Source organism: Homo sapiens, chromosome 6, assembly GCF_000001405.40.
Source record: "Homo sapiens chromosome 6, GRCh38.p14 Primary Assembly".
NCBI classification, from domain to species: domain Eukaryota; kingdom Metazoa; phylum Chordata; class Mammalia; order Primates; family Hominidae; genus Homo; species Homo sapiens.
Window position 1 is genome coordinate 128,638,869 of NC_000006.12, and position 18,387 is coordinate 128,657,255.

Genomic DNA, 18,387 nt, shown 5'->3' on the forward strand with positions numbered 1-18,387 from the left:
TTTTGAAATAGTTCTACATTTTTTTGTAAATTATTTCTTCCATGATGATTTAGAGGGACTATCAACAAACCAGTACAAATATTTCATAAATAATATCTGCCTGTTTTCTAACCAATTGAGTAATTTGTTGCACAATAAGCCACTTCACATCTTTCTGCAAGTAAAACATTAGCTGTGAATAGTAAAGACATTACACAATGAATTAGGGCACAATTAAAATTTGATTTAAATATTTCTTTAGGGGAGGGAACACCACACTTCCACTTAATGAAAAGAAACATTTTTAGAGTCCAGAGGTCTTTTGCTTCTTTTACACCTATTATGCCCTGACTGCATAGGGGACAGGTTCCAGCAGCTCAGGCTTTGGTTCTCACAAAGTATGTTTCCCTGGGTGGAGCAGGCTGGTGCTTCAGTTGAACCCAGGAACCTTTCTCTTTGGCTTCTTTCTCTGACCATTTTCCTTTATGTGTTTTAGGAAGCCGTCTCGGCACTTAGAGTGCTTAATATGCTCAATATGCACATGAATTCCCTTGGCAAGAATCTTGTCCTTAACTTGTTTACAACACTGCCAACAGCATGCTGGGTAACACTGTAGATTCTTCCAATTTTGCCATGGTAATACTTGTGAGGCATTCCTTTTTGAACAGGACTCATTCCCTTGATGTCTACAGTATCACCTTTCTTCTAAGTTTGCATGTACATGGCCAAATGAACAACTCCCTGTTTTCCAAATAGACTGGAGAACATGTATCAGTGCCTATCCTCTTTCCCTGTGTGTTCATCATTTTGGTGAATTACTGAAAGATGGTGGTTCTGGCTGAAAGGCTAATTTTTTAATTTAAAAATTTCTAATGATTCTACTTTTAATAATTTCTAATTAATTTCTAAAAATCAATTGTATAGTATTAAGTAAATTTCACTTTTCAGAAATGATCTAAATTTGTTTTTGTCTAAACATACCAATATCATAATTTCAGATTCAGATTGATTCTGTTTAGCAAGCCATTTAAAATTTGCTTGTAGTTCCCGGTAATAGTATGAGAAGGCAACTTCTTCTTATTTATTTATCCAAATTTGCAGTACTATTCAATTCATACAGTATTTACTCATATCCCATTTTAGTTTTGGTTAATTTCTCTTTGGAGAAATATGGGAGACAATGAAATCTCACTTTGGAAAAGAAAAAGAGAAACTAATTCTTATTCAGTACCTATTACATACCAACCACTGTGTCAGATACTTTAATCTCACAACTATTCTTTGAGGTTGCAAAAGTTTTGTGCATTTTTATACGGTTTAAGAAATAAAGTATCAAGAAGTTAAGTAACTAAGTTGCAAATAACCTAAATGACTCAAAGCTAATGGATTGAGTAAACTTTTGTACATTCATGTGTTACAATGCAAAAAAGCAATGAAAGATTAGTAAGTATGTTATTATTTGATATCATAAAATGCCTACTAGATATTGCCAAATTTAAAAAATAGTACACACAACCATTTATATGTATGTATATGGGTGTGTATACACACACATCTGTTTTTTAAAAAATAAAGACCTACATACAACACAAGACTCACAGAATCACATAAAATAAAAAAACCACATTAAAACAGAGAAAACTGGTAAAAGTTGCTTTAGCACTTATATCAGGGTAGTGAGTTACAGATGATTTTCATTCTTTTGTTTATTCACTCTAAATTTCTGACGATGAGTATATCTCAGCTTTATATTTTAAAAAAGCAACGTATCATTTAAAAAATACGTATTCCAATGTTACACAGTTGTAAACATTAGAGCTCAGCTTTGAAATATAAGGTTATATTCTTTCCTCTATGATCAAAGATAGACTACTCAGGCCTAAAGAAAAACACTCAGATACTCCCGTGTGGGGGCTGGGGGACAGGGAGAGAAAGAGAGAGAGGGAAGAAAGAGTCAAAGACACACACTCACACACACACACACGCACACACACACGGGGGGGCGGGGTGGACATAGAGAAAAGAGCTTTCATTTGGCTGTTCTTGACGTTAGACCACCTTCACTCTAATTACTGACTGTACAGTTGTAAAAGCCCTTCCCAATTACATATAAGGATATTTTTGAGTCCTACTGGTTGCTGTTGCAAAGCTATAAAGATCTTCATAATTACCTTCAGGCAGTTAAAAATTTAGAGATCCAGAGAGGTCTAGGTATAGATTCTTTTGGAATAGCGGGCCAGCTGAAATTGTTAGGTGGTTATTATTCAGTACAAGGGAATTTGGCTCTTCCTGTTTAAATGGCAAATTTAACCAATGCACAGATTAGAAGACTCCAAACCAAATCAATTGTATATAGAGAAGAACCTAGAAAAAAGAAAGGAATCCATTTAAACAGCAGAGGAGGTATAGTAATTGGGCCTATAGATCACAGGCCCAACTAGTAAGATTGTATTACTAAGCCAAAATCATCAATAAAAGAAAATAAAGCCAGGTGACTAAGTTAAGGTCTAGTATGACAATGGTCATGAATCAACACAAATAATCTTGGCACAAAAGTTTCAGGACAGGCTGTCCAAAAGCAGCTGAGTAGAAGATTCAAGTAAGGTTTTATGTATGGTATGTTACGCTGATCTTCCTCCCTCGCTTACTTCCTTGCTTTCTCTTTCCCTCCTTCTTCCTATTCCTCCCTCCCTCCCTTCCTTCCCTTCCTTAACTTCCTTCTCTCATTTTCCTTCTTTTACAAAAATAATCTCTACTGCATACATTGTTTGAAGCACTTATAATGATGAATAAGATGTGTCTCTCACCTAAAAAGAGTTTACAGAATATGTGTGTTGAGGTCATAGGTTAATATTTGTGTTTACTTATTATATCTTGAGTACTCATTTGCAGTGTTTTAGTTGTTCACAATCTAACATATGGATTTAATGCTGAACATGTGGCTCCTGCTGTAGAAAGTTATGGGCCTTTGGGCAGAAACCCTACTCCTGACCTTCAAACTGAAATGGATGTCCTAAATGATGTAATGTGTATAGCTAATGATGTTATACAGTAGAACTCATTTGTAATAGTGGTATTGAGAAACTGGGCTAATGGCCACATGTAGACTTAGTAATATAATGAGAGAAATTCATGATGAAACTTTAAGTAAGAGGACATGATTTTTCTTCCAGTATAACTGAATCTTTGCTATTATGAGAAATATTAGGGTGAAATTTAATAGAATTACACAAAACATATTGAACTACTGTTGGAATAGTATGGAATGTGATATCAAAATCATGCTTCAATAGAATACAAGTTTAGGCTTGAAATATATTATATTTCAAGTTGAAATTCATGACAGCTGAATAAGGGATATGGTATTGCCTTTTAATGAGCTAATTTCTTCCCAATTTTAAGAGTGACCAAAGGTCAGCCCTTTTGGATTGCACAGCACACACTTGTAAGAAACCCTTATAAATCATCCTTATGTTCAAGTGCAAGGCAACTATAACACAAGCCCATGTATTAAATCAAAAGTGCCTTTCAGAATATGAGAGAGAGACGCAAATGTTCACAGTAACAGTATGCTAAGGGCTTTATGAAATAGAAAATTAACCTTGGAAGTTTCTCAGTGGACAAGGCTTAGATAAAATAAAAAAGTTATTCCTTTGGTATGCTTAGAGGATACCAAACAATGTAGAACAATTTGTATTTTAATGTGGAAGTTGTTCCGTCTTGTTTATTTCTGAGTGTCAGTCCTTCTGCCTTATCCCCATTATTTTCAAAACTGTAAACTACATACAGCATGGCTCTAATGAATCAGGTTGACAGGGATTGCTAATGCATTGGAACATTTCTGAATGTTCAGAGAAATTTGAATTTAGTAAGTGCCATATCTGAAACCAGTACAGAACCTGGGGGTGGATAGTTGGTATTGGTGGGTGGTCAGAATTTGACACCCATCCCCAAACTTCAAAAGGGATTTAGAGAAGTATTTCTAATAAGACTGAAGTTAAAAGGATATGACAATGGGAATACCAATTGGTTTAATCCTTTTGAATGGCAAATTATTATTAAGAATTAGCTAGCATTAATTTAGTACTTTCTATATGCCAGGAACTGTATTAATTTATTTATATATAATTTAATAACTGAATTACTTACTATGTGTAAGGATTCTTAAAAGTATTAATGGGGCCAGGCACGGCGGCTCACACCTGTAATCCCAGCACTTTGGGAGGCTGAGATGGGTGGATCACAAGGTCAGGGGATCGAGACCATCCTGGCTAACACAGTGAAACCCTGTCTCTACTAAAAATACAAAAAATTAGCCAGGCGAGGTGGCAGGTGCCTGTAGTCCCAGCTACTCGGGAGGCTGAGGCAGGAGAATGGCATGAACCTGGGAGTTGGAGCTTGCAGTGAGCTGAGATCGTGCCACTGCACTCCAGCCTGGGTGACAGAGTGAGATTCTGTCTCAAAAAAAAAAAAAAAGTATTAATGGTCTTGACCTAGTATTTCTATATCCAGGAACTCATAGTAATAATTAATGACCCATATAAAGAATTATGCACTAAAATGTTTGCTTCAGCATTATTTACATAGCATAAAGTCTGAAACAAATGTCCAACACTGAAGAATGCTTAGGAAAAGTTACATAAAGGATATTATACAGTCATTGAAATCATGTTTGCAGTGAATGCTTAATGGGAAGATGATCTCCATGCAATGTTAAGAGAAAAACAAAGTAGCACGCAAAATAGTATATATAAAATACTTCAAAATATAATAAACAATAAACATTGGAACTTTTATAAAAAGACTTAGAGGAGATACAGCAAAATATCAATTGTGGTTATATCTGGGTAATGAGAATTATAAATAATTTTAGTTTTTAAAATTTATTTCTGTATTTTCCAAGTTTTTTACAAAAAGTTTACATCAAGTATATAATTTGAAAAATAAGCTTAAACATTTTCTGGGTGAAAAGAATTCCTGGCTTCTCTACAGGCAGATTCCCTTCACACATCTTCCTGCCCAACTACTGTGTCAGTGGGACCCCTGCTCATGTGAATATTTCTTTGTGCCAGTGTTTGGGTCTCCAGGCTAGAGCAATTTTCTTCTGGGCTTTGGAGCATTTTGTTTCCTACCTCTTAGTAATCCACCCCCAACAGTTGACTCCTGGTTTTGGCATCCACCCTTTCATGAAGCCATCCTCAGGTTGAGGTGGTTAAACCATTCCATTCCACCATTAGTTGCTCACTGCCACACTGGCTGGCTTCATGCTTTAGTGAAGCTAGTAAAACCTCAAGGGATGTATCAAGTATCCCAAAATCTACTTAAAAAATTTTGGGATGACCAGGGGGCATATTTAGCCATCTTTAGCTCTCAGAATTTCGGCTACATCTCTCTACCAATAATCCTGTTTATACTGAGGACTTTACTGATAAGATGGGTTACAAGAATGTTTTCATGCAAGTCCCTAGGACTCCTCGGTAAATTAAGGGTATGGGACTTTGGGATTAAAAGTCAGTTGCTCTCAGAGACGTCGGAGCATTATAGATACTCAAGAAGTATTTGATGAAGGAAAGAATACTAGGGGTGATAAAGGTAGTCTTTAATATTTTTACTAATCAAAAGAATAAGTATTATTTTTCAGAAAATAGGAGGTGGGAAAGACATATGGAGGAAGCAGGGAAATCATTCAGAGGCAGGGAAAATTGATGGAATAAGTGCCGCATTTTGGGACAGATATTCAGGGTTAATAAGGAAAATTAAGAGAATAGTGTGATATGATATCAATGGACATGCAGATAACTGATATCAGTCCTTTAACAAAGGAAATTGCAAATTGTTTTTTCAAGAGTTTCAAAGAGGTACAATTTTTATGGCCTAGACCTTCTGTGGCTGACTGTCATAGGTGAATAATGGCTGCCCCAAAATATCAAGTCCAAATCGTTGGAATTTATAAACGTTATCTTCTTTGAAAAAAAGGTCTTTGCAGATATTACAAAGTTAAGGATTTTGAAATGAATAGATTCTACCTTGGATGACCCAGATGAGCTTTAAATACCATCAAAAGTGTCTTCATAAAATAGAGGCCGAGGGAGATTCCACGCCGACACACAGAGGAGACAAACAGAAGAGGAGGGTGCAATGTGACCATGGAGACAAAAATTGGGGTGGCATGGCCACAAAACAAGAAACACTCGGAGTTGCCCAAAGGTGGAAGAGGCAAGAGCAGATACTTCCCTGGATCCTTTGGAGAGACTGTAGTCCTACTGATGCCTTAATTTCAGACTTTGGGCCTTCAGAGCAGTGAGGGAACACATTCCTGTTGTTTTCGGCTAGCAAATCTGTGGTAATTTGTTATGGCAGCCCTAGAAAACACACACAGTGAATAAAATAACTCTTGTGTGGGAAAACAGCCTCATTCTGATTGGTTGGGGAGGAAAGTGATTGCCAATAGTGTACCTGTAAGACGGTAGAAGGTGAAATCAGCTGTAAAGCGTAGGAAGGCAGTGGTGGTAGGTGTCTAGGAGTACGGTGGCCACAATAGCATCTGCTATTGTAAGAGCACTGGGGAGTGAAGGTGGGAGAATAAGAGTGGAAGGGTCACTTTCCTGAGTGCCCTAATCCCTCTTTTAGTTGACACATCAGACCTAGCCATCCAGATGAGATGACATTGTTCTATTTAAAAGACTGGGTGGGAACTGGAGCCAGGATACTCTGTGGGGTTATTTATCCAAATCCGGGGTTATTATTCAAAAGTGCATGGCTGGGCAAATAGGTTTATGCCATAGTTTATCAAGACGGAAACCAAAAGAAAGAAAGTTGCCAAATTAATTTTTGGGGGCTTGAAGAACAGTTGTTTGTAAAGAAATGGTTTAAATTACAGATTAAAAAAAAAACACACACAAAAATCCGTGCTGCTTCAAAACTCAAACTAGACTACCTCCACAAGCATTCCTTCCTCAAAGCCACCTTGTAGACACCAGACCTAGTAAATTTACATTTGACAGACAAATAGGAAACTTTTTCATGTTACACAAAGGCAACATTATAATCTAGCTGTCAGGCCTTAGCTCCATTGATGCACTGAGATGTGGGCCAGATGAAGATAATTCAGGGAATCTAGCTCCAGCGAGAGTTTCAGGGAGCCCTCCCTCAGTTAGTTGATATCCCAAACGCTTATCACAAAAGCAAGAGAAACTTGATAACGACCTGGCAGTGGTGACCAGACTTATTCTTCCTAGAACAAGAAAGTGATATTCAGAGATTGACATACCCTTAAAACGATCAAAAGGGAAAAGCAAGGTTTTCTTTTTAGAGGTTCAAGTCATGCTGAGTTTGGTCAGATAGTGTGAGGGGCCCAGTCGAGTCACTTGTGAGGGTATATAAAATAAAGTTGGGAAACAAAGGAAACGAGTGAAAAGAATGAGGTATTTATTCACTAAAAGGACCAATGAAACCGATCCCCTCTAAGTGTAAAAGGAGGAGTAGAGATTACTGTGCCTGTTGTTTAAAATGTGTGGACAGAAGATTATTTCTAGAGGACACTTAGTATATATTTACCATGGTATGCATCAAAGGCAACAGAATTTTGTTACGTCGCTTACCATAAAATATTAGAATAAAAAATCAATATTGATGTTTCTGTTTTAAAAAGTAATACATGTTCATTATTTAAAAAAATAAACAAGTGCTGTAATAAAAGTATATAGTATGGAGGGCGACATTCTCAGAGATACCCACTTCTTGGTGTCAGCCACAATTAACTGTTTGGTGTACAAAATCACAGAAATAAGGGCTGATAAATTTGTAGATGCTGTCTAATCCAATTCCCTTATTTCATAGTGGAGGAAGATGAGGCACAAACAGGGCTACAAGGCTACTGAGTTACTGAAGATTGTCCAGTTAGTTAGAGAAAGATGCTGGTTTGCTCTTATATTACCTACAGATACAGATAATTTTATTCACCTTTTTTTTTTCTGTTGAGCTATCAGGGAAACACATCCTAGATATTCAGAACCCCCTACTAGGTTGACTAAAACAAAGCAAGGAAGGAAATTTTAAAAATAGCAGAGGGTCTCTAAAGACAGCTGCTTGAGGTAAGCAAATGAACAGGTGTTTATGATTGAATTATTAGCCTCAATAAATTGAAGAAAACACCATTTTTTTTTCAAACTTGAGGTAAAAACACAATAACAATAGAGAATTTATCACTCTCCAGAACTTTCTGTGTTGAATACAGGAGTATATTTTTAGCTTTTTCTCTAGGAAAACGGCTTCCAGTTTCTGAATCATTTTGGCTAATTTTTATATGCTTCCGATCTATCCTCTGCAGCACTCCCGCAAGCTGCTTATTTTGTGGCAAATAGTAGCAAACAACTTTTTATTTTTTTCAGAGATATCCAGAATTTCGCCAAATGGTGATGTTTTTTCCTCTAAAAGAGTCCTTGTGAAAATCCCTTACTTCTGTCTAATAAATGCCATATTCAATATTTACTTTCTCCAGGGACGATTGTTTCAGTACTATGAAAATCTCAGAAGAGCAACTAGAGTCATTTAACCTACTCTTAATCTGTCCTAATGCCATTTCTCTCTTAAACGTGTCTCCATTTTTTTCAGAATTGTATGCCTCTTAGTTTTTCAAAGCAGTGAGTAGGTTGAGCAGAGAAAGGGCCAATACAGCATTTGTTCTCCTCATACTGCTGAGCATAGTCATCAAAATGTCCTAAGATATGTGTATGAATAATCATCTAAGAATATGTGTATATTCTGTGTTCATATAGAACACATTTATATACGTACATGTTCTCTGATACATATAGGGTTCTCAATTTTTGAATAGGAAAGGGACTTGGACTTTGAGATCTATAGATTTGGGATCAAATATCAACTTCTACTTCATGGCTATGTGATCTTGGAAAAGTCATTTAGCTTCTGAAATTTAGTTTTCTCACTTACAAAATGAGGATAATAATGACTATCTTAAGGTGATGTTACAAGGATTATATATGGTAATGACATAAAAGGTCTGTTTGATAAATGCTTGATGTATCAGTGTCAACAAATGGCAATTATTATTTTCTCATATAATCACATATATTTTCAAAAAACTAAACAATACTGCCTGAAAATATTCATCATTTGCCCTTTCTGTCATCTAGAAAATGCTACTTCTTTTAGATCATTTGCAAATTGTAGCTTTGTTCAGTCTTTCCCAAACTTACACTTTCTCCCCTGCTCCATATTTGACAGCTATAGCTGCTCTGCTATTATCACTTTCTGGCTCCTCTTGTTCATGCATCATTTCAGATTGGATTGTAACGTGCTCTGGAACCACTTCAGGTATTCTGCCCTCTGTGCAATTGCCTTAGAATCAACTTCTCCCACAATTAGTTGTCACTGGTTACATTTTTATCGGTTAACCAAAATGCTTAGTTGAACATAGATTAGGTTGTCATGCCTCTGGAGAGCCTGCAGTTCAGAACTTTTTTACTGGACACTTTCTCTTGTCACTTGATGCTAAGAGGAACATGTCAACAGTGAAACTTATCTGAAAGCTGAATATGAAGTAACTGATAGACTTAGGTGTCACATTATATAGTAGACAGTAGTGTTGCTTGATAGAATATTGTTTGACTCTATGCCAAAAGGCACACTGGGTTCACTATAGCTGTCTAACTTTTCCCATATCAGTATGTCATTTAGAAGCTTGCTAAAAATGTAGCAAGAGGCCAGGATTATTTTTAGTTGGAAAAGCTTCATTTACTTCTCACAAGGTAAATAGATCTTTAATAACTTCTTTAATTTAGTCTTGTTTTTAACACATGAAATGGGAATAAATATTCAGTGATTTGAATGATGGATTCTCTATAACAATGAAATATTTAAATGCTCTTACTAGGAGCAGTAATCGACCGTAACGTTTCTTTTTGACACTCACAAGTATTTTCTGTTAAGTGGGAGTAATGTTTTTAAAACTAAACATAAAATCACAAACATAGAGCATTTTCAATTTGAACTTTTAATACTTAGAAGTGAGCCTTTATTCAGAAGGCTCATAGAAGTATTTTCCTTAATTGTTGCATGCATAAGGATCTCTTCTAAATTAACATTAATTTTATGATTAATTTTGAAACAGAAATCTAATTTTTACTCACTGGCATGAAATGTTTCTTGGAACAGGAAAGAGAAATTTATTTTTGTTTCTTACTAACTCAGTCATCATTTAATGCCATCTGATATTAAATACCATATTTTCAACAATCTAAAATGAATAATTTACAAAATATTTTAATTATATTGTTATGATATTAAATATGGTAGGCTATGTATAGTAACACAAGCTCACCAATAATGAATTTGCTGAGATTAACTGTGAAATCTGGTTGAGAGATATGCCTGTGGAGGATTATCCTCCCATGGTAAGAACCATGAAGGTGGTTCATTCATTTGACTAAAGCTTTGAGCTCATGCTTATGTGGTAGACCACTTTTCCTCCATTTCTTATCAAAAAAATGTGTAGCCAGAGGAAAACAGTATTTTCAAATATTTCTTATAGTAGATTAAGACAATAGTTGCTATTGTTTGGATGTTTGTTCTCTGCAAATATCATGTTGAAATTTAATTCCTAGTGTGGCAATGCTGGGAGGTGGGTCCTAGGTCATGGGACACATCCTGCATGAACAGATTAATGTTCTCTCTTGGTGCTGAGTGAGGTTTCACTTTATTATTTCCCATAAGAGCTGGTTGTTAAAAAGAGCTTAGCACCTCCTCCTTCTTTGTCTTGGTTGCTCTCTGTACATCTGATCTCTGCACACTCTGGCTTTCCTTCACCTTCCAGCTAGTGGAAGCAGCCTGAGGCCCTCACCAGATGCTCAATCTTGAATGTTCCAGTTCCAGTCAGCAAAACTATGGGCTACATAAATTTCTTTTCTTTATAAATTACCCAGTCTCAGCTATTTCTTTAGAACAACACTAAGCAGACTAAGCCAATAGCTCTTCTATTTCCTGTATGTGTAGTGCTTGAGAATAGATCATTATGTAGCAAAAATTCCTGATCTTTGACTTCACCAGAACTGACGGAGGTGTATTTTGTTGTTGCTGTTATTTTTCTCCCTTTAAATTGTCTAAAGGACTATTTATCAATCAATTTCTGGCCATTTCAAACTTGTCGTATTTTACTGTATGGGTAGGTTTTAGTCAGGAAACCAGAAGCCACTCTGGATATTCAGATAGGAAGGGTTTCGATACAGTAATTGTAGGTATAATCATTGTTAGGGCTGCAGAGTGAAGATCAGGAAAGTCTCCCTGTTGAGTAGACCTACAGAGCATTCTCAAAAGTTCATCTGGAAGCTGCTGTGAATCTTAAGAATCAACATTCCTGCTGCCTGAGATACTCAAAGTGGCTGATTTGAAAGCTGTCATGCACAGAAGCTCATGCCTGCATGTGCATATTTCCTTAATTGTTGATAGAAAAGAATGCTTTTTTCTGCTTTGATACCCTTACTACAAGCTTGCTTGTCATTTGCAGAGTAATCTGTAGCCATCCAGTTAAATGGGTACTGGGAAGGGAGTTTTGGGTTTCTCTTTGTTGAAGTAGACAAAATGATAAAACAGGCACAGTAATGATGTCAAGTTGAAGACAAATCTGGCATAGCCATGTTTTGTCAACCTAGCATTCGTATATACTCTTCTACCCACATTCTAACTTCAAAAACAACCATCCAACTTCATGCTTCCACATGATATGATCTAACTATGTCTTATCCAGCCATATATACATATACATATATGTATACACTCTCTCCCTACAGGGGTAGACACAAAGTTCTATAAATCACTGTATGCTATTTTGGGGTGATGTTCATTCTTTTTCTAACTCAGTTCCAATTCTCCTTTGGTATCTTTTAACTTATAGACTAAATTATAAGGTAAATCTCTATTAATACACTTCGCATTAGATAAAAGATGAGGATGGTGGCAAAAAACTGGTTAATATATGCAACTATGTACATCATAAATCAGAAAAGGAAATAGGCTTAGCTTTCACATGCTTCGTTTCTACAAGTGAATAAGAGGCCATAATTGGTCTTTACGATTTTGCTTTCTCCCTATCCATTTGATTTGTTCTCAGTGGGCGCGTTATCTGGTCATGGTTCTTCACTTGATGGGATGATGCAAAACCTCATTTTTGAAGGGCTAGAGCCACTAGTAGCCTTGCTTTTTTGGGTTGCTCTACTCCTTTGCTAACCTTTTACACTAGATATACAAGTACTGAGGGGCAATCCAGAGAATCCTTTGAATCCTCTTTGCCTTTATTATGCAGCAGCAACTCTATTTCTCCTTGACAATCAATATTATTCACTCCGGTTAGTACAGCAAGCCCTTCTTTGACTGTTGCCTTAGTGGCATGAAGAATTCAAAGTGATAGTTTAAATTTCACATTCAGTAGAATCATTGTTAGGTCCACTAGTGTAAGCATTCATTTTTTAGAAATTAAGTCCTCTAAACCTGCAGAGCCAAAAGTGGTTAAGAGAAGTGATATGGTTTGGATCTTTATACCCACCCAAATCTCATCTGGAATTGTAATCCCCAGGTGTTGAGGGAGGGACCTGGTGGGAGGTGATTGGATCATGGGGATGGTTCCCCCATGCTGTTCTTATGAAAGTGAATGAGTTCCCGCAACAGCTGATGGTTATAAAAGTGTTTGGCAGTTCCCCCCACTTTCTCTGTCTCCTGTCGCCATGTAAGAGGTGCCTTACTTCCCCTTTGCCTTCTGCCATAATTGTAAGTTTCCTGAGGCCTCCCCAACCATGCAGAACTATAAGTCAATTAAACCTCTCTCCTTTGTAAATTACATTGTCTCAAGTTGTATCTTTAGAGCAGTGTGAAAATGGACTAATACAAAAAGCAAATCTTTTGTGATTGGGTCTTTAAGAATAACAGAGAGAGGAACCACTCCCATTCCCACTTCTTGGCTCCTTTATCCATGTCTTCTGGCCATGGGAAAAGATAGTGTCATGTTGTCATATTGTTTGCTAGTTCAGAACATATATGAAATCTTTCAGGACAGCACATAGCCAAACAAGGTATTATTACTTAGCCAGCACCCAAAATGAGTTTTTAATAGGGCATTCCACTGTTATGTCAGGCAGGCCAACTTGAGGTGATGTGGTACACTGTAAGACCAATAAATTCTACAGATGTGAACATTTCCCTCATTCTTTGCTGGTCAATGTGTTCTTTGGCCAGGAGCAAAGTTATATGGGCATCATTAAAGAGAATCAGGCTTTCCATTAGCCTGTGGATACTGGTACTTTACAAAGGCAGAGCAGACAGGGATGGCACATTCATATCTACTGTGTTTATTCTGGTAAAACATGCTGTTCTTTCTTCCATGATGGAGGTAGTCAACATGGCTAGCAGATCCCCTCAAGAATAGTGCCACAGAAGGAAATCAGCATCAAACTCAGCTGACAACATACTATGTTTTTAGCAACTGTGATAGCTAGAATAGTCTTATTGAAGAGAAGACCCTGCTTTTGAGCCCATGCATAGTCTCTATCACTGACACTTTGACCATTTTATTTATGAGCCCATTGGTCAAGCTCAAATGGCTGGGAAGAGGGTGGCTAATATTCACAGAAAGCGTTATCTCGACTTTATTATTCGAAAAATGCCTTGCAGTTGAAGCCTGTTTGTGAGCAATTACTTGGGGCACAAAAAATTTCAAACTCTTACCATTCCCAGAGGTTTACCATTTCTTACTCAGACCTTTGTGTTATCAATCCCTTATTTTATTTTCTTCAAAATCCGGAGAAATGAGAAAACCACTTTCCATTGTCCAGTGTAGATATGGCATCTCTTTCCAAAAAAGAAAAAAAAAATTGAATGCAGTTCTGCCCACTAGAAAGATTTCCTTTTTCCCCAATCCTTAACGGCCATTACATAGTGGGACTGAAATGCTACATGGTACAAGACTATTGTGTGGACATATCTACAAACCAGGACTGATTTGTTTTACCTCAGTCACTTGATGATGAACTCCCCCTGAGGTCCCAAATGTGGTGTGTGGTATAGTTGTCAATGCAAGCTTTTGATGCCAAAAGTTCAAATTTTGCCATCAGTTCAAATTCTACCCCATATCTCATGTTTCTACTCTGGCTGGTGTGAAGGGCAACTTATGCCAAACTTATGTGAGCTTGCTGAATTTTTCTCTATAGCACAACACACCTGTGCTTTCAGGACTAATTGAGCTCAGTTGCACATACGCCACTTCAGTTTGATAATGGAATGCTGCTATACACTCTTTAAAAAATTAAATCAATGTTATTGAGATTTAATTTACATACCAAAATGCATTCATTTTAAGTGCAGAATTTGATGAGCTTTGGCAAATGTTCTCCCTGTATGACCTTCACGAAACCGAATATATAGAATATTTCCTTCATTCAAAAATTACCCAGTGCCTTTTTGCAGTCAGTACCTGCACTTATTCCTGCCCCAAACAAACACTGATCTGATTTTTATCACTATAGATTGGTTTTGCCTATTCTGGATTTTTACATAAGTGGAATCATACAGTGTATAGTCTTTTATGCCTGGTTTTATTTCACTATATAAAGATTCTGAGATTCATCCATGCTGTTGCGTATATCAGTAGTTGGTTCTGTTTCACTGCTGAGTAGTATCCCATTGTTTGAATATATCACAATTTGTTTACCCATCACTGTGTTGGATATACTTGTACAAGTTCTTTTTTTTTAAATCTTTTTTTTTATTATTTATACTTTAAGTTTTAGGGTACATGTGCACAATGTGCAGGTTAGTTACATATGTATACATGTGCCATGCTGGTGCGCTACACCGACTAACTCGTCATCTAGCATTTGGTATATCTCCCAACGCTATCCCTCCCCTCCCCCAACCCCACAACAGTCCCCAGAGTGTGATGTTCCCCTTCCTGTGTCCATGTGTTCTCATTGTTCAATTCCCACCTGTGAGTGAGAATATGTGGTGTTTGGTTTTTTGTTCTTGCGATAGTTTACTGAGAATGATGATTTCCAATTTCATCCATGTCCCTACAAAGGACATGAACTCATCATTTTTTATGGCTGCATAGTATTCCATGGTGTATATGTGCCACATTTTCTTAATCCGGTCTATCATTGTTGGACATTTGGGTTGGTTCCAAGTCTTTGCTATTGTGAATAGTACCGCAATAAACATATGTGTGCATGTGTCTTTATAGCAGCATGATTTATAGTCCTTTGGGTATATACCCAGTAATGGGATGGGTGGGTCAAATGGTATTTCTAGTTCTAGATCCCTCAGGAATCGCCACACTGACTTCCACAATAGTTGAACTAGTTTACAGTCCCACCAACAGTGTAAAAGTGTTCCTATTTCTCCACATCCTCTCCAGCACCTGTTGTTTCCTGACTTTTTAATGATTGCCATTCTAACTGGTGTGAGATGATATCTCATTGTGGTTTTGATTTGCATTTCTCTGATGGCCAGTGATGGTGAGCATTTTTTTCATGTGTTTTTGGCTGCATAAATGTCTTCTTCTTTCTGTAAACAAGTATTACTAATTTTCTTGGGTAAATAAGAATTAAATGACTGGTTTGAATGTTCTGTTCATGTTTCGCTTTACAAGGGACTCACAAAATGTTTTCCAAATGATGGTTGATTATTCCCACCAACATTATAGTAGAGTTCTAATTGCTCCACATTTTTGCCAGTATTTTGTATTGTCAGACTTTTAACTTTAGCAATTTCTAACGGGCATTTGGTGGACTTAATTTTGATTTTTCTGTTGATTAATGATGTTTCATATGCCCATTAGCAATTTATATATCTTTCTATGTGATGCATCAGTTCAACTCTCTGTCCATTTAAAATTTGATTGTTTTTCTTATTATTTAGTTGTAAGAGGTCTTTATATATTCTGGAAACTAATCCTTTGTCAGAAATTTGTACTGTAAATGTTTACTCCCAGACTTTATCTTGCCTTTTTATTTTTGTCAAAGTGTCTTTCAAAGGGCAGTCATTTTTAATCTTGATGGAGTACAAGCATCAGTTTTTCTTTTACGTTCATGCTTTCTACATAGTATGTAAAAATAACACAAAAAACAATATAAACAGTATAGCAAGGTCACAAATATTTTCTACTATATTTTATTCTAGAAGTTTTACAGTTTTAACTTTCACACTTAGGGCTATGATTTAAGTTAATTTTTATGTATGATTTGAATTAAGCATTAAAGCTTATTTTTACTTTGCTATTTTTATCTCTGGTTTGAGTTAGGTCTTCTTCATATCATCCATGTTTCTATTTAAAATGCTTAATATTTCCTCTATTAAGCTTAACTATCCTAACTTAACTTAACTATCCTAACTTAACTTAACTATCCTAAATATTTAGGCAGCCAACATTGGGCCACATAAAACAAATTCTTAGAGACCTATAAAGAGACTTAGATAACCACACAATAATTGTGGGAGACTTAACACCTTACTGACAGTGTTAGACACATCATTAAGGCAGAAAACTAACATAGATATCTGGGACCTATTGGTTCTTGAACACCTGGATAGAGTTGTAATAACTGTTTTAATGTCTTTGTTTATATGTTCTATCATCTTCATAATTTCTGGGTCAGTTTTGATTTAATTTTTTCTCTTCGTTATGAGTCTTATTTTCCTGCTTTTTTATGTTTGTATGGCAGACTTTGTGAAATTTACCTCATTGAGTGATGGATATTTTTGTATTACTATAAATGTTGTTGAGCTTTGTTCTGGGACATAGTTAAGTTACTCGGAAACAGATGGGTTCTTTCAGGTCTTGAATTTAATCTTTGTTAGGTGGGATTAGAGCAGCTAATTTTGTCACGCTACTGAAGAAAAGCCATTATGCATATACTACTCAATGCCCCATTTTCCACTCTGACTAGTGGGTAGAGAAACTATTCTTGGCCCTGTGAAAACTCTGTAAATTTTCTCCTCTAATCCTTTTGGGTTGTTCTTTTTCCATCCTCAGAGAGTTTCCTCACAGAAATACCCTGATTAATACTCAGCCAAAGCCTTGAGGGAAGGGAGATCCTGTGAAGATTTCTGAATCTCTGTGTAACTTTCCCCTCTGGTACTCTGACCAGCAAAATGTAGCTTTCTCCAAAGAGACCTGAGCAGTTTGTCAGGGATTAGAGTATACTGGCTCCTGAGTGGTGTTAGCCAGGGAAATGAAATGTTTTGTGGTGATGTCAATCAATTTTAAGGCATCATTTCCTCATTGTCAGACATATCTCTCACATAGGCAAGGAAGCTCATGTCAGCTGACTAGACATCCTCTCTCCAGGACAATGGTGGAGATTCCCTGTGAATCTAGCCCTCTTGGTCTCCGTTTCCTTTTGTTGCATGCCAACATACCCCTGCTTGATAAACCCTCTTTCTTTTGTGGTAAGTTTGTAGCTCTCTCAGTCCCAGTGACATTACAATCTTTGCTAATTAGTCATCTCACTTGGGGTTTCCAAAACTCTTTATTCACAAATACTGATAGTCCTATGAGTCATTCTTATATATGAGTAATTCAGTAATTTTGTGTTGATTTTTACCAGTTTTATCTCAAAGATCAATTTCATTGTAAATGTTGTGACTATAATTACTGTGAATTAAGAATTTTTGAACATATTCCTATTTAAAAAAAAATCTTTGCTAGGACCATCTATCTTATTTGTATGAGCTCCTTTATAATCTAGATTTTTGGGTATTATTTATTTGTTAATATCTTCTAGTTTGACCTTGCCCTTATTTTGGTTCTATTTCATTGTCCATAGAATTAAAATAATTTTTTTTGTGGTGGATTGGTCGGTGAGGGGAGGCAGTGGCAGACAGGGTCTTGCTCTTTTGCCCAGGGTGGAGTGCAGTGGCTCAATCATAGCTTTGTAACATCAAACTCCTGGGACTCCATACATGCACTATGACTGGCTAATTAAAAAAATTATTTTGTAGCAGTGGAATCTTGCTATGTTGCCCAGGCTGGAACAGAATTAAAATTCTAATATAGTAAAAAGTATAAAATCTTTACATTTATTGTTTCTTCTCTTTAATGTATACGAATGAATTAATATTTAATCTAGAGACCTGAAAAGCATTAAATTCCATTTTCTGGTAGATTTTTGAATATATATTTTATTTTTGTAGACATATTAGAGTGTTGTTCCGTCTCTCATATTTTTCTCCTTCCTGACTACTCCTCTCATCACTTGGCTAATCCATAGCAGCATGGGGGTGGGTCCATAATAGCCCTGTTGGCACAATCTGATTCTTCCTCTTTGATGATGGTTTATTTTAATCCAGTGACCATCTGAATCAAGATGGCCTAATTAGCATTATTTTCCTGGGACTTTAAATCTG

General features: G+C 36.4%; 1 long non-coding RNA gene and 1 pseudogene across 1 annotated transcript in view, besides 1 other annotated feature; one reads left to right on the plus strand and one right to left on the minus strand.

The window, feature by feature from the left end:
* RPL21P64 (ribosomal protein L21 pseudogene 64) lies at nucleotides 320-785 on the minus strand (annotated as a pseudogene).
* Nucleotides 9,719-18,387, plus strand: part of LOC105377998 (uncharacterized) — a 49,280-nt gene continuing 40,611 nt past the window's right edge. The window contains exon 1 of the long non-coding RNA XR_001744339.2: nucleotides 9,719-9,749. This is a non-coding gene — a long non-coding RNA (uncharacterized LOC105377998). The remainder of the gene's footprint in view (nucleotides 9,750-18,387) is intronic.
* Nucleotides 16,668-17,867: an enhancer, noted in NCBI's record as "P300/CBP strongly-dependent group 1 enhancer chr6:128976681-128977880 (GRCh37/hg19 assembly coordinates)". NCBI's record gives its function as "activates an origin of replication core promoter dependent on BRD2, BRD4, P300/CBP, MED14 and CDK7 cofactors, with strong dependence on P300/CBP, by STARR-seq in HCT116 cells {active_cell/tissue: HCT116}" and the evidence as "EXISTENCE:reporter gene assay evidence [ECO:0000049][PMID:35650434]".